The sequence below is a fragment of the Homo sapiens genome, chromosome 9 (genome assembly GCF_000001405.40).
Source record: "Homo sapiens chromosome 9, GRCh38.p14 Primary Assembly".
NCBI lineage: Eukaryota > Metazoa > Chordata > Mammalia > Primates > Hominidae > Homo > Homo sapiens.
This window is the reverse complement of record NC_000009.12, coordinates 95,550,763-95,565,418: the sequence shown is the minus strand read 5'-3', so window position 1 is coordinate 95,565,418 and position 14,656 is coordinate 95,550,763. Positions and strand designations below refer to the sequence as shown.

General features: G+C 47.6%; 4 annotated features.

Moving 5' to 3' along the window:
• Window positions 1–500: an enhancer, noted in NCBI's record as "H3K4me1 hESC enhancer chr9:98327201-98327700 (GRCh37/hg19 assembly coordinates)". NCBI's record gives its function as "activates a minimal SCP1, AML or CMV promoter by ChIP-STARR-seq in primed H9 embryonic stem cells {active_cell/tissue: H9 hESC(primed)}" and the evidence as "EXISTENCE:reporter gene assay evidence [ECO:0000049][PMID:30033119]".
• Window positions 501–1,002: an enhancer, noted in NCBI's record as "H3K4me1 hESC enhancer chr9:98326699-98327200 (GRCh37/hg19 assembly coordinates)". NCBI's record gives its function as "activates a minimal SCP1, AML or CMV promoter by ChIP-STARR-seq in primed H9 embryonic stem cells {active_cell/tissue: H9 hESC(primed)}" and the evidence as "EXISTENCE:reporter gene assay evidence [ECO:0000049][PMID:30033119]".
• Window positions 11,606–12,570: an enhancer, noted in NCBI's record as "OCT4-NANOG-H3K4me1 hESC enhancer chr9:98315131-98316095 (GRCh37/hg19 assembly coordinates)". NCBI's record gives its function as "activates a minimal SCP1, AML or CMV promoter by ChIP-STARR-seq in naive and primed H9 embryonic stem cells {active_cell/tissue: H9 hESC(naive and primed)}" and the evidence as "EXISTENCE:reporter gene assay evidence [ECO:0000049][PMID:30033119]".
• Window positions 12,571–13,535: an enhancer, noted in NCBI's record as "OCT4-NANOG-H3K4me1 hESC enhancer chr9:98314166-98315130 (GRCh37/hg19 assembly coordinates)". NCBI's record gives its function as "activates a minimal SCP1, AML or CMV promoter by ChIP-STARR-seq in primed H9 embryonic stem cells {active_cell/tissue: H9 hESC(primed)}" and the evidence as "EXISTENCE:reporter gene assay evidence [ECO:0000049][PMID:30033119]".

Genomic DNA, 14,656 nt, shown 5'->3' with positions numbered 1-14,656 from the left:
GGCCCAGCACTGGCTGCCCTGGGAGTGGATAAATGTGGGGCTCAGGGCGTCCAGTCCTGTCCTGGGGAGAGGGCAATCAGGTCAAGCTTCTCAGTAGAAGCAACATCTAAGTGTGGAAAAGGCAAGAGGAATGAGAATCTGTCCCAGATAGAACTCAGGAGCAAAAGCGTAGTGGTGAGAGGGACCGTGGCACACACCCAGCCATGCAGGCGCTGCAGGTGGACTTGGAGAAAGGAGTGTGGGCAGACAGGCCCACGAAGTAACAAATAAAAGACGGTTCACACCTAATAAATTATCTGTCACACCACATACCCTACAATAGCAGAGCTCCCTGCTGGGCTGAACGTGGGGCCTGGATAGCTGCACCATCAATGGAAAAAGTGTGCACGGACGCTGGGGCATTTCCAGCAGCAGCCAAAGGGCACTCCTGGGCTGGGAGATATGGAGGAAATTCCATGCCCACAGAAATCCCTTGGAAAATGCCCTCAACAGCGAATCAGCCTTGTTGCACAAACGTCAGACAAGCCAGAGACAACTAAAACCTCAATGATGCAGAACTCCCATCGTGCTTCCCCTCTGCAGGCACCGGCAGGTCGAGGTTTCCCCAAGCCTGGACCTCAGGGCTCTTCTAATGCAGCGTCCTTAGCTGTATGCTGCAATGGGAAAGCTGGTGACGTGGAGGAGGGGACAGGCCCCAGCTCCTTTCAACAGTGGACTCAAACAGCCCGGCCCAGGAAGGCCATCAACGGGGAGGAAATAGACCTGAAGGTCGAGAGTGGCTGAGTGAGCACAGGAGGGTGAATTCCTGTCCTAGAATGAAACCAAGTGAAGTAGAGATGCTGGTTCCCAGACAGAACTCATCCCCAGCTCTCCTGGAAGAAAGAATAAGACAATCAAGATTTATACCTGACCATTTGTTTCCTTTTCAGTGACTTGGGCAAATCATTGCTTGCTGTCCTAGTTTTCCTTTCTGCCCATGGTTTGTTATGGATTCACCTCAAAAGAAACGATAGCCTGAGGAATCCCAGAGCCCAGCTCACCACTTTCCCCGCTGTCTTCGAAGACCCAGCAGCCATGTGTCATCACAGGACTCCAACCCCCCATGCCCAGGGGACCAGATCTAGTGTGGCCAAAAGGAGCTGGGCCAGTGGAATTCCCAGTTGGGAATCTCACTCAAGAAAAGAGAGAATCGGCAGGGCACAGTCGATTACAGCCTCACGCCAGCACTTTGAGAGGCTGAGGCGGGCGAATCACGAGGTCAAGAGATAGAGACCATCCTGGCCAACAGGGTGAAACCCTGTCTCTACTAAAAATACAAAAATTAGCTGGGTGTGGTGGCACACGCCTGTAGTCCCAGCTACTCGGGAGGCGGAGGCAGGAGAATCGCTTGAACCCGGAAAGCAGACATTGCAGTGAGTGGAGATTGCGCCACTGCACTCCAACCTGGTGACACAGCAAGACTCCGTCAAAAAAAAAAAAGGAAAGAAGGAAGGAAGGGAGAGAAGAAGGGAGGGAGGGAGGAAGGGAGGGAGGGAGGGAAAGGGAGAATCGCACTGTGGGAACCCAAGCTGATGGGATATAGGAAGAGTCAAGCTGAGAAGCCATGTCCCGAGGAAGGAGCCAATGGGTGCAGAAGGCAGAGGAGCCCCCTAATAATAAAAAGAAAAGAAAACACAGACACAGAAGCAGAGGCTGAGAGAGTAGCCACACTGGGCTGGGAGTGGAACACTACAGGGAAGGTGCTGGTGCTCCAAGGAACTGGGCTGCGTCCACGAGGGAGCCCCAGGGAGGCCCCAGGTCCTGCTCTCCACTGACGCGGTGGCCTTACAATACGCCTCCCCATAGCCCGCCTGCGAGCGCTTGTGTTCCTTGGGATCCCAGTCTCCTGGAAGATTCAAATGAAAGACTGTGAGATGCCTGGTGAAAAAATGTACCCCCGGGGGCTGGAAGAAAGTGGCTATTTGGTTTTTTTCACCAAATCTCCACTACGGATTTTTGAGGAACTGTGAATCACAGGAGTGGTGCAAAATACATGTACATGGGAACATTCTGTCCATGTTGTATAAAGATGAGCAGGTGGTAGATACCACCACCTTGTGAACTCTGGCTCTATACTGTGCAGGTTCTAGGAAGGAAAAACCAGAGCAAAGGACGTGACCCAAAGAGCTAGGAATGGTTTAAGAAGAATCATTTATGGCAGATTAAGCTCATTGATTTTTTTAAAGTGGCATGGAAAATCAGAGTTTCTAGTAAATGTTTTTATGAGAGTTGACTTTCTTTACCTTTGCCCCAATGTGAAAGCCATTCTTTAAAATACAGACTTCAAAAATCAAACACATCATAAAACGTGGCGAATTAGGCACTGTGAAATCAACCTTCTCCTCAGCTCTTGAGCCTTCCCCTCTTGGAGTCTAATTTTCTCCAACAATAAATAATATGTAATTTGTCTGCTTTCCCTAATTCTTCCTGCCAAATTACCCCTTTCTGTTAGTAAGAGAACAAACAAAATCTCTCTCTTAGATAACCACAACTGTATTAGCAGTTTTCCAAGGATTCTCTTCTTCCTTCTCCTCCTCTTTCTTGTTTTTGATTAGAAGCAGCTTTTATCAATAGATCATTTCCAGGAGTCCAAAAGGCTATATATATATAGGTTCAACTCCTCTCCCCAGAGTCCCCCAGGCCCCCACCCTGGGCAAGGCTGCAAGGTGCCTTGTGGTTTTCAAGGGGCCCTGTCCCAGCCCCTCTTATATGGGCATCCCAGCTATGACACCCAGTAGTGACTCTGGGCTTTGCATCAGTGCCGGCTGCAGCTTTAGTAGCACTGTTTATGGTGGAAGCGGAGGTGTCAGGGCCCAGGTCTTATTAGAGGCAGAATGATGAGAAAGTCCCTGAAATGCAGGGACTGGGACTACCAAAGGAGGCTTCTCTTTCTGTCTTAGGAGCTTGATCCTTGACAGGCTTCATCATTCTTTCTGCAAGACCACACCCTTCTCAATCAGACGCAGGACGTCCCTGCCAGCCACAGGTCCAGTCCTAGAGTGATGAGGTGAGCCAATACAAACTAAAGCATATTCCTGGTCTGCAAAGACTTGAAGTGATTAATTAGACGATTAATTAGACATCCTTTCCGTCTTCCCGCCTACCTTAGCGAAATGCAATTTCTGCTGCAGTGTTATGATAAGTGGGGAGACGTCAAGCTAGACATCAGACGCGTTCCTGAGGAAGCCATGGAAGTACTCGCTTTACCTGGGTGTTTGCTGTGTGCTCTGTTCACAGTGATGTTTAGTTTAACTGGTCTGAAAGAGGAAGTGCTCGAAAGGAAACACTTGGTAAATGCAGGCAAAATCTAGGTAAATGTTTCTCCGGAACAGAATTAGTGCTGGGAGCAGGAGAACAGTGATTTGGGAAGATCATGTCTTTCGGTGGTTTTGTTCACTGTCTGCAGCGGTTCATGCAAATTATTTCAAACATCATCTCCAGCATTCACACAGTCTATTTCCCTGCTCTGCAGACAGTAGAAAGGTAAAAGCCACGCCTCCCGGACTCCCTTACAGCCAGCACTTGTTGAACTCAGGTTGGAACTGATTGCCGTCTGTGTTGTGGGAGTAGGCAGGAGTTCTAGATTATACCCAACAAATGCAGCCATCAGGATGGAAGGTGCCATGAGAGGGGGAAATGGGATCTTCTGGCAAGCCTGGAGAAGGACGTCTTTGTTCTGTGGCAGCCACGGCCAGCGCTCTTCTCTCTGGTCCCAGCAGCATACAATCTGAGTGTTAGAAATATCTCATTGTGTGGTTGCTGTTTCTTCTGGTTGCTTATTCCTGACGATGTAGTATCCAAGCTTCATTCTCTGGTCCTCCTGAAAATTCTGTACTGACTCTGCTTAAACTAGCGGTGGATTCTGTCGTCTGCAATTAAGAAAGCCTGCCTCTTTATGATTTCCAGGAGACAGAGTGGCATCAGGACAGCCACACCACCAGCTCACAGCTTTCTTCTCCAGTGCTCCCAGATGAGACTCCAGGGCCCTGAAAAATGACTCTAGTGGGTCAACTAAGAGACCTAAACCTAATGTTTTCATGCATTACATTGAGCAAACTGAAAGGGTAGGAATGTCCTCACAAACTCCATGCTGAAAATACTTCTGATATCTTTGTGTTCCAAGGAGTATATTTTGAAGAAATTGATCACATCTTATGTTTTTATACAATAAGTCCACTCCAAATGGCATCAAAACAGTTTAAATTGTCTAGGCACAGCGGTTCACACCTGTAACCCCAACAATTTAGGAGGCTGAGTTAGGAGAATCACTGGAGGCCAGGAGTTGAAGACCAGTCAGGGCAACATAGGCCTTGTCTCTACAAAAAATAACAATAATAAAAAAATTAGCCAGGCATGGTGGTGCATGCCTGTAGCCCCAGGGACTCGAGAGGCTGAGGTGGGAGGATCACCTGAGCCCAGGAAGTCGAGGCTGCAGTGAGCTGGGCTGTGTTCACGTCACTGCACTCCAGTTTGGGCAAAAGAGTGAGACGCTGTCTCAAAAAAAAAAAAAAAAAAAAAAGAATAGTTGGAATTCTTTTAAGAAAAAGAAATTCGAGAGGAAAATATTGTGTAGTCCAGTTCATTAGTGAAAAAAAATGGCTGAAGTCGGTGTTTATTTCCTGTCACTTCTTTTACCTTTCTGAATGCAGAATTCTTATTAGGTTTTAACTTAATATTTCAATGTTTCATGACTGTTCTTCTAGAAAGATCATTTTAAAGCAATTGCATTTGTTCTGAGAGCCACATCTAGATCCTCTACCTGGGTCTATAGGTTTATAGAGTAAAAAGAACTCTTTCACTAATTTACACGTTAAAACGATGACCCAGTTGCTCTGGGCACGGCAAGCATACAGATGGTCACTCAGTGAATAAGTAATAACAGTGGAAGAGGGTGAAGAAAGTTTGTTAACCAAAACCAGGAAGTGACTTTTACTTTGAGGTTGACCGTAGGGAGATATTGGCACCACCGGAGAATGAGGTAGAGTAGGCTTTAAGTGCTATAAGAGGGGTTTGATGTCCATAGAAGAGGTTTCCCATCTTTGTCAATGACAACTCCCTTCACCCAGTTACTCAAGCCAGAAGCCTAGGAGTGCTTTTCATACCTGTCCCTCCTTCACGCCTCATATCTGATCCATAGCCAGGTTTGTCTGTTCCAGCTCCAACATGTTCCCCAAATGCATCTTTCCAAGTCTATGGGCAGCATCCTAGTCCTGCTGAACATTGTCTCCTGCCTGGATGGCTGCAGAGGCTTCTCACCGGCCTCCCGTTTCCTCACTTGGCCTCATACAACTCTTTCTGCTTGCAGTAACCAGAACTATCCTTCAGCCCTGTGCAGCAAACCACAGCTACCATTCCGTGGCCTCCCCACGGCCAACCAGACTCCAGGCCAGGTCCCGCCCGCCTTGCCAGCCTCACATCATGCCATCCTCCTCCCCCACACTCCTCCCAGTTCATCCATGTGCCCAGGTCCTCTGTCCCTCGGAGGCCGAACATGAGAACATCTTGCTGCCGGGAACATCCTTCGCCCGACTCCTCACAGGAGGCACTCAGGCCTGAGCTTACCTGTCACTTTTCAAACCAGGCATTCTCCCACTCCTGCCCACATCTTTGGGTCTAAACAGTGCCATCTCTCCCCACAGCCCCTTATCCTCTCCAGCACCTTATTCGTTTCCTACACAGAATGTCTCGCCATTTTTAATTATATACTTAGTCTTGTTTATATGCCTGTCTCCCACCAGACTGAGAGCTTCACACAGGCCAAGCTCTTCCCTGTCTCATTAAATATTGTGTTCCCAGCACCTTGCACTGGGCCTGGCATATAGTGGGTTCCTGTGCATATACATTTTATTTTCCGGACAGACCAAGAAAAAGTGTTGCCCACTTAGCAGCCTGGACAACATAGGGAGACCCCATCTTGACAAAAAAAATTAAAAATTAGCCAGCCGTGATGGCACACGCCTGTAGTCCCATCTACTCAGGAGGCTGAGGCAGGAAGATCACTTGAGCCTTGGAATTTGAGGCTGCAGTGAGCTATGATCACTGCACTCCAGTCTGGGTGACAGAGCAAGATCCTGTCTCAAAAAAAAAAGTCACTTAGGATATTAATTCAGGAGGATTTAGCAATAACCAACAAAAAGGGGATTAAATTGGCCAACGGAACTCCAATTGAAAACAAATCTGGCCAGTACCTTCCAAAATTGGGGGGCTGAGGGATGACAATGAATTACATATACAGCTGGTAGGTTGTTTCCACCTACCAGTCTGCAAAGATATAGACAAAGGTTCTTAAAATTGTACTTACAGTACAATTTTACAGTTTGTAAATTTTACAATTTTACAGTTTGTAAAACAGTTTGCATTCTCTACAAATGTTGAAGAGAAGCTCACCCAGCAATCTCACTCTTAAGTATGACCAAGAGAAATGTGTTGGGCAAGAGTGTTCAGAGCAGCATTATTCACAACAGTCGCATGCTGGAAAGAAGAACCCAATGTCCACCAATGGAATAGATCAATAAACTGTGGCTTAGTCATGCAATGTAATTCAACTACAACTACAGGCAGAAACATGAATGAATTTCACAAACCTAATGGTAAGGAAGCAAAAAAAAAAAATCCAATGCCAAGCTACATGCTGCATAACTCAATTTATATAGAACTCAAAAAAACAGACAAAACCCTACTACGATGTTGAGAGATACATGTTTAAATAAATCCCTAAATTTTAATGCATGCCCTCTCAAGAAAGGCATTGAAGCAACTGTGTAAACTCAAGATAATAGTTACCCTTGGGGAGGCTGGATACGAAGGGATCTCTGCCATTGATAAAGTTCTGTTTCTTGACAAGGGTCATAGCTACATGCATGTTCGTTTTCTGGTAAATAGCTGTTTTTAATAAACTAAATATGCATAAGAATCACATGTTGAAAGTACCAGTTCTTGGACTCATGCTCAGGATACAATGGGCCCAGGAAGCTACCCTTTAACAATGAACTTGAGAGCTTCAGATGGAGGTGGGTCCTTGCAGAAATGATGACTGACAACCTCATGGCTGGAAAGAGTTTTAAGGGACAGCCAAAAAGTTTACCCTGATTCTGAATTTACTGCCTTGGCCTGATCAGCTCAAGCTGTTTGATCCAGGCAAGGCTCTTGTTGGTAGAAGACAGAGATACAAAGAGCAGCAAGATGTTAGGAACATCTCGCAACCCAGCAAGGGTTTAAATCAACTCTGAAACAAAGTGAGGGTGAAGCTGGAAATTGCATTATGGTGTCTCTAAGGTCAGAGCTGTGTGTCTCATGGGAAAATTGATCCTTGCACATTTTCTCAACTCCATTTGATCACTTTCCTTAGCTTTTGAAAGAGCAGTTGCATGCCCATCATTGGGATCATTGTTGGTGATATGTCATGTGCCAAAGGCCATCATTTTGCAATATAGAAAACTAAGCCCAGTCCTGATGTGGGCATTCAATTCATGAGCGCTCATGTCCAGCACAACTGAGCTCCTACTGAACAGGCTCCGGTTTTCCAGGGTAATATACCTGCAAAATGCAAGAGCATGGGACGCACAGACCCAACATTTCCTTGCGTTTCTGTCAGTCAACTTTGCTGAGCTTTCTCTCTGGATGACAGCTCCTGAGCTCCAAACTTCGAGGAGCCCTTCCCCCACGGGACTCTGGGCTTGGCTGACTGGGACTATTGCAGGAACTACAGCTCAGCTCCACAGCACTCCAGGCTGAAGTTGCATTGAAAACCACTCAGCCATAACTAGGCAAATATACCCATTCATCAGAATGACTCTCCTCCTAAAGGTAGGCCCTAACCCTAACTACTCACCAGAGAAGCCTGGGTTGTGTTATGCTGTGTGGTGTCGTGTTGTGTTGTGCTGTGCTGTGTGGTGTTGTGTAGTTTGTTATGTTGTGCTGTGTGATGTGTTGTGTAGTTGTGTTGTGTTTCGCTGTGTGATGTTGTGTGGTTGTGTTGTGTTGCACTGTGTGATTTGCTGTGTGGTTGTGTTGTGTTGCACGGTGTGATGTTGCGTTGTGTGGTTGTGTTGTGTTTCACTGTGTGATGTTGTGTCGTTGTGTTGCACTGTGTGATTTGCTGTGTGGTTGTGTTGTGTTGCACGGTGTGATGTTGTGTTGTGTGGTTGTGTTGTGTTTCGCTGTGTGATGTGTGGTTTGTTATGTTGCGCTGTATGACGCTGTGTTGTGTGGTTGTGTCGTGTTGCGCTGTGTGATGTGTGGTTGTGTTGTGTTGCACGTGTGATGTGTTGTGTGGTTGTGTTGTGTTGCGCTATGTTGTGTTTAACACACCTTGGAGACTTCTGAGATTTGCATACAGCAGAGTCTTCCCTTTGGTTCCAGTCTGTGCTCCTCCTAAGATATTACAGATTTTTGAGAACCTATGCTAAGGATTCCTACAATATTGACTAAAACCAGACATGTTTCGAGAATATCTGGAATCCCGTGTTTTTATTTTCCTGGACCCAGCAGGCAGCTTTCCCTGAAAACCCCCAGTCTGATGATCCCACCTTGCCACCTGGTATTCCCCACGCGCCAATCCCTGGCCCCACACTTCCCAAGTCCTATTGTTTCCAACAAGCGCCTTCTGTGTTTTGACATCCACCTCCCACCAGCAGCCCTCCAGCGCAGGCAGGCCGAGCAGGGAGCAGGCTGGCACAGGCGCGCTCCTAATCCCTAGCATTAAATCCAGGGTAAACTCTGAGGAAAGCGATGAGGGGGACTTTGCTTCCATCAGCGTATTGAATTTGGAAAGTCTGTGGGGGAAAAAGAATTACACATATGCAGGCATAACCTCTTAACACACTTTCCAAGGATCTCAATACTCAAAATGGGAAGAACTGCAACGTTGTGGGTGGTATCATGGAAAAAGCTAGGAGGAGAGAGAAAAAGATTTTCATCCCATTGTCTCTGCCAATAAGTAGTTCTGGTCCTTAGGCAATCTGCTTGGTCTTCAGTTTTCCTCATTTCTGTAAGGAAGTATTTGGATGTACCAACAATTTCTTCTAGCTCAAACATTCTGTAAACCTATGGATACATGTTCTTATCCATACTATCTTTTACATAAGACTACGTGAGCAAAAACTTGATCTCAGTACTTGACTGAACTACTTGTACCAGCCATCTTTTTAAAATCTGTCCCAGGCAGTATTAAATTTCCAACTGTGCCTGCTGGGCCAAAAGTCCCAGCAGCTCGCCCCAGAAGTACAGGCAATCAAGGAGTGTCACCTTCTTCAAGTGTGTGTATTCATCTGGGACCTCAACAAGTGCCTTACTTCTCTCCCGCCTCTTCCTTCGGTTATGAAAAAAGCAAACTCCACAGCATAACATAACACAACAGGCACAAGAAACGAGGGTGGGGAAATGTGAATAAGTCTGAAAAATCACAGCCAAAGAGAAAGACATCAAAGTCCTACAGAGTTCTTAGAGTTCACCCTCAAATTTGGCCCCCAAGTTTCTGGAAGCCAGAGAGGAGAAGGAAGCCTGGGGAAGAGCAGACCAGGTACTCAGTGACATCTCTGCAGTGCAGTCAGTGGGAGAAAGCAGCTGACTTATTTTTGTATTATTTCTCACAAAAGCTGTGGTACAGTCTGTCTGTCTCCCTATGGCTGGAAAGTCAGGTGACACCCAGTACTGGAGAAGTGAAGGAAGCAGGGAAGAGCATGTGGTGGGTGGGGCAGGTGCCACTTGCGTAGGGTGGCTGGGGAAGCTCAGATCAGGGGCATGTGAGCAGAGGTCTGCAGGAAGTAAGGGAGAAGCCCGGATACCTGGGGAAGAGCACTCCAGGTAAAGGGAAGAGCAAATGCACAGGTGCCGAGCTTGGTGTGTCTGAGGGACAGGAGGGAGGCCAGAGACTGGAGTAGGGCAGGTGGAGGAAATAGTGACAGGGGATGTGATTGGGGAGGAAGAGTCTCTGGGGTGGTGTGAAGGAGCAGATCCTGTGTGGCCAGCAAGGACTTTGGCTTTCACTGTAGGAGACATGGGGAGATATGTAGGCTTTGGAGGAGAGTTCCTGGTGTATGTAGCTGGAAATAATCACTACAGCTTCTTCCTCCTTCTGAAATACCCAGAAGCCTCAAAGAGAGAGAGCCATGACCCCTCCTCTGCCCGTGTCTGGGTCTTCACCATCCAACCTGAAGAGCTCCTAAGCTCTGCGAATGAGCACCTCCATACCTTTTCACACACATGCCTTGCCCTCGTCCTGGCTGCCTTAGTCCATTTGGGCTATATAACAAAAATGCCACAGACTCCATGATTTATAAAGGACAGAAATGTATTGCTCACGGTTCTGGAGTCTGGAAGTCCAAGATCAAGGCACTGGCAGAGCAGGTGTCTGGTGAGGGCAGCTCCTGCTTCCAAGATGGTGCCTTGTTGCTAGGTCCTCATACAACAAGAGGCAGAAGCACAAAAGACCTAGCTAGCTCCCTCCAGCCCTCTTACAAGGCACTAATTCCATCCCTGAAGACAGCCCTCATGGCCTGACCACCTCCTAAAGGCCTCACCTCTTAATACTTTTGTTTTGGGGACTGTTTCAACATGAATTTTGGAGACGACATGAACATTCAAACCATGGCATTGACCTTGGTTTCCAAGGCCGGATCCCCAGGAGGGCTAAGATAGTGGTTTTCAATTTGTCTTTGTGCCTTGTAGTCTGTGGGTTCCTCGGAGAGATTGTAGGAGCAATAGTCAGTGGATTCCAAGCATCCCACCATGGCTGCTTCAACAAGCCTGGTTCTGTTTCTACCTGTGTCAAAGCTTACATTTCCTATATATTTGAGTACTTTGTCACTTGGAAAGTGTCTTCCTAGAGAAAGGACTGGAAGGGTCTTCACCAGAGTGTTCTTGGTTATCACTGGTTACCATGGGCATAGGAGGTGTGATGGAAGAAGGGCGCAGGGGGTGAAGGCAAAGCTTATTCTTCTAGATTGTTTCAATTGTCTACAAGTCATTGTACAAGGCATAAATTTTGCTCATTTTAAAAAATGATATGAAAAAATTAAAACCTGCCAAGTCATTTTTCAGCTCTAGGATGTGAGCCTTCTGAGGTGGTTTCTGGTGGATGCTATTCAGTCTGGATAGAGAAGAGAAGGCTGGAAGGGAGTGGAAAAGAGGGAGGCTTTGCTGTTTGGGGACAGCCCCAAACGCTCTAAATATAATAAGAAAAGGCCAGCTTTGGTGAGTTCGTTAAGTGAGTCCAAAGGAAGCGTGTTGAACTGGATGGCTTTCAGCCCTAGATACAACCAAGCAGAAAACAGCAGCTTGAGAGGGTGCCTCTACCAGCTTCCCAGGGCTGCCAACCAATGACCACAGATCACCGAAGACCACAGACCTGGTGGACTAAACAACAGAAATGGGCCCTCTCACAGCTCTGGAGGCTGGAAGTCCAAGATCAAGGTGTGGGCAGGGCCATGCTCCCCACCAAGGCTTTAGAGGAGAATCTTTCCCTGCCTCTCCCAGCTGTGGGTAGCTCTGGGCATTGCTTGGTTTGTGACTCCAATCTCTGCCTGCCTCTCCACATGGCCTTCTCCTACTTTGTCCCCCCGACCCCCCGTGCCTCTTATAAAGACACTTGTCATTGGATCTAGGGCTCAGCCTAACTCCAGGATGATCTCCTCTCAAAAACCTTTACTTGATTTAATCCTCAAAAACCCTCTTTACAAATTAGGTTCCCGGACATGGACGTGTCTTCTGGAGAGCCACCACTCAACCCACTACAGCCCCCCAAATGACACCTCCAGAGACAGTCACCGCTCGCGATAGGTGGTGAGGAGAAGGGAGGATGCAGCCCTTCAGAATCAGGCAGAGGCACCGAACCAGAGGGCAGCCCGTGGGGTGGGGGGCCGCGGCGGGGCGGCGGCTGGGGCGGCCCCGGAGTCTGCAGTGCTGGCTGCGCGCTAGGTCACCTGGGAACTTTACACAATGTACGTTCGCACTCAGGCCCCTCCCTCAGAGATGCTGATGTAACGGGGTTGGGTTGGTGCCAGGGCATTCGTAGTTTTTCAAAGGCCCCAGGGGGTTCTCATGTGCAGCTAAGGCAGAGAAACCCTGGCAGCTGAAAGGGGGCTGCGGGCAGGAGTCAGAGGCCGGGGTCCCCTCCGGCTCCGCCGCTCATGCGGGACAAGGACATTCCCATCTGCGGGGAGGGCAGGCGTGAGGTCAGAGAGGAGAGCCCAGGCTTCCTCCTGTCGTGCGCGTCCACTGCCCCTGGACGCCACCCTCCTGGCTCCGCGCTGGCCGGGCCTATGGGGAGCCGTCCGCGGAGATGCGCTGTTCCGGCCCTGCTGGCCCTCGGTTTCCACCCGGCCCCAGCCTGCTGTGCCTGCAACTCGGCCATGAGGAGTCGTTCACATTCTTACAAGGTCTTAACAATTCAAGCAAGTTGTCTTGGGTCCTCCGCAGAGCCGTGGATCCATTTGATGTTCATCTGTAAGGAGATTTTCATTCTTTCAGGGCCTTCCCCAAATGTCGGCCACAGTTATGCTAAGGACCCCCCACTCTGTCCACAGCTGGGTACGATGGTGCTCTATTTTATCCCTCTGCGCCAAACACTCTTCTCTGGGGCCTGAACTCTGCAGCAGTGACAGAAACTCACTCTCTTCTAGTTTTTTGAAAGGAAGACACAAATTCAACAGGGCTTCTTGTGTTGCAGTAGTTACCCATCCCTAGGCCTCGGGTTTTACTACATACCTAAAACTGTTATGCATATGAGTGGCTGTACAATATCTTGAGATACTAAATTAAGTGCATTTTTCATCCTCTATTTTACCCTTTTCTTCCCCCCACCCCCCGTTCAAGCAGGAAGGCTCTTCAGTGCTCATTGCCAGGAGCTTGCCCTGGTATGCTAGTGGGCAGGGAATGGGCAGAGTGTGGGAACTGTGGAACCAGAGCCCTTGGCCAAGAGCAGCCTTGCGTGGGGCTCCGCGGAGGGCAGCTCAGGCAGAGCGCAGCCTCCAGGGTGCCTGGTGCCCTGCAGGAGGCAAGCACAGCCTCCCCTGCTCCTGGTAACCCTCCGGTTTGGCTGAGGAGGTCTTCCATTGGGAAGTGGCCCTGCCCCCTTGAATAAACATTCTAACCACCAGCCCTTCACTAGAACAACTGAGTTACTCCGAAAGTTAGATAAATAATCTGTCGGGGATGGAGAACTGACTGAAGACAGAAAACAAAGAATAAATGAATGATTCTTGGGATAGAGAAGTGGTAAAGGCAGGCATTTCCTGAGACTAAAGTGGCCTAAGGTTGGGAAGGCTTTTTTTTTTTTTTTTTTTTTTGAGGCAGAATCTCACTCTGTCATCGCCAGGCTGAAGTGCAATGGCGCCATCTCAGCTCACTGCAACCTCCGCCTCCCAGGTTCAAGTGATTCTCCTGCCTCAGCCTCCTGAGTAGCTGGGACTACAGGCGCCTGCCACCACGCCCAGCTAATTTTTGTAGTATTAGTAGAGATGGGGTTTCACCATGTTGGCCAGGATGGTCTCGATCTCTTGACCTTGTAATCCACCCGCCTCGGCCTCCCAAACTACTGGGATTACAGGCGTGAGCTACCGCGCCCAGCCCAGGAAGGCATTTTTTTAAATATTCTGAGCGCCTACAGTGAACGTTCCAGGTTTAAAGATTATAGCTAAACACTTTGAGGGACTGCAAATTACAGAGACAGAAGACAAACTAATCTCATAAGTTACCATGATGTGGTAGATAAGCGTTGAACTGAGAATGGGGATCCCCAGCTTTCAGGGCTGACATCACCATTACCTAATTATACAACCTCGGGGAAGACACTAACATTTCCAGAGCCCAAGTTTTCTCACCTTCAAATGAGGAAGTCAGTTTACAAGGTTACTAGGATGGCTTTCTACAAAAATCATAATCTATATCCATGGGAGTGAGCTGGAAATTAGAAGGGAACTATAGTATGTATTCCTGGCATTGAGCTGGGTGTTCAATGAGATGGGTTACTGCAATCAATTTTTACAACATTTAATGACACATAGGAAGTTCCCCCACTCCCTCTACTCTGTCTACAGTTGAGAAAACTAAAAATTTTGCCCACAGTCACACAGCTAGTAAAAGGTGCACTCACCCACGTTTATTTGACTCCACAATTTATTAAAACATGATTCCTCTGTGTTTGGAATTGTATTGATGAGTTTTCATCAGCAGTTAGAACCTAGCACAATTCATGAAAATAACTGGATGCTCAAAACATGCTTTTCTGGATGAGTCAATGTTGAATCTAAAATATATTTATCTAAAGTAACTCTATGAGATGATAAGATGGTAATTTGCTTAACTGTAGTAATTAGTTCACTATGTCTATGTGTAGTAAGATAAGTATATCAAAATATCCTGTACACCTCAGATATATACAATTTTAAAAATACAATTCATTAAAATAAAATTTATTATCAAACCAGATCACAAATCCACAGCATCTGGAATACACCCTGGCACATAGTAGGTGCGCAACAAGTATTTGTCACAGCAGACTACTCCCTGAACCTATTAGTCCAGCATGCTGTTACAGCTAAGAGGATCAGAGACAAAGGTTTTATTGGCAAGGATATTGGGAACCAAAGCATAGGTAGCATATTCCTATCCTAGCAAG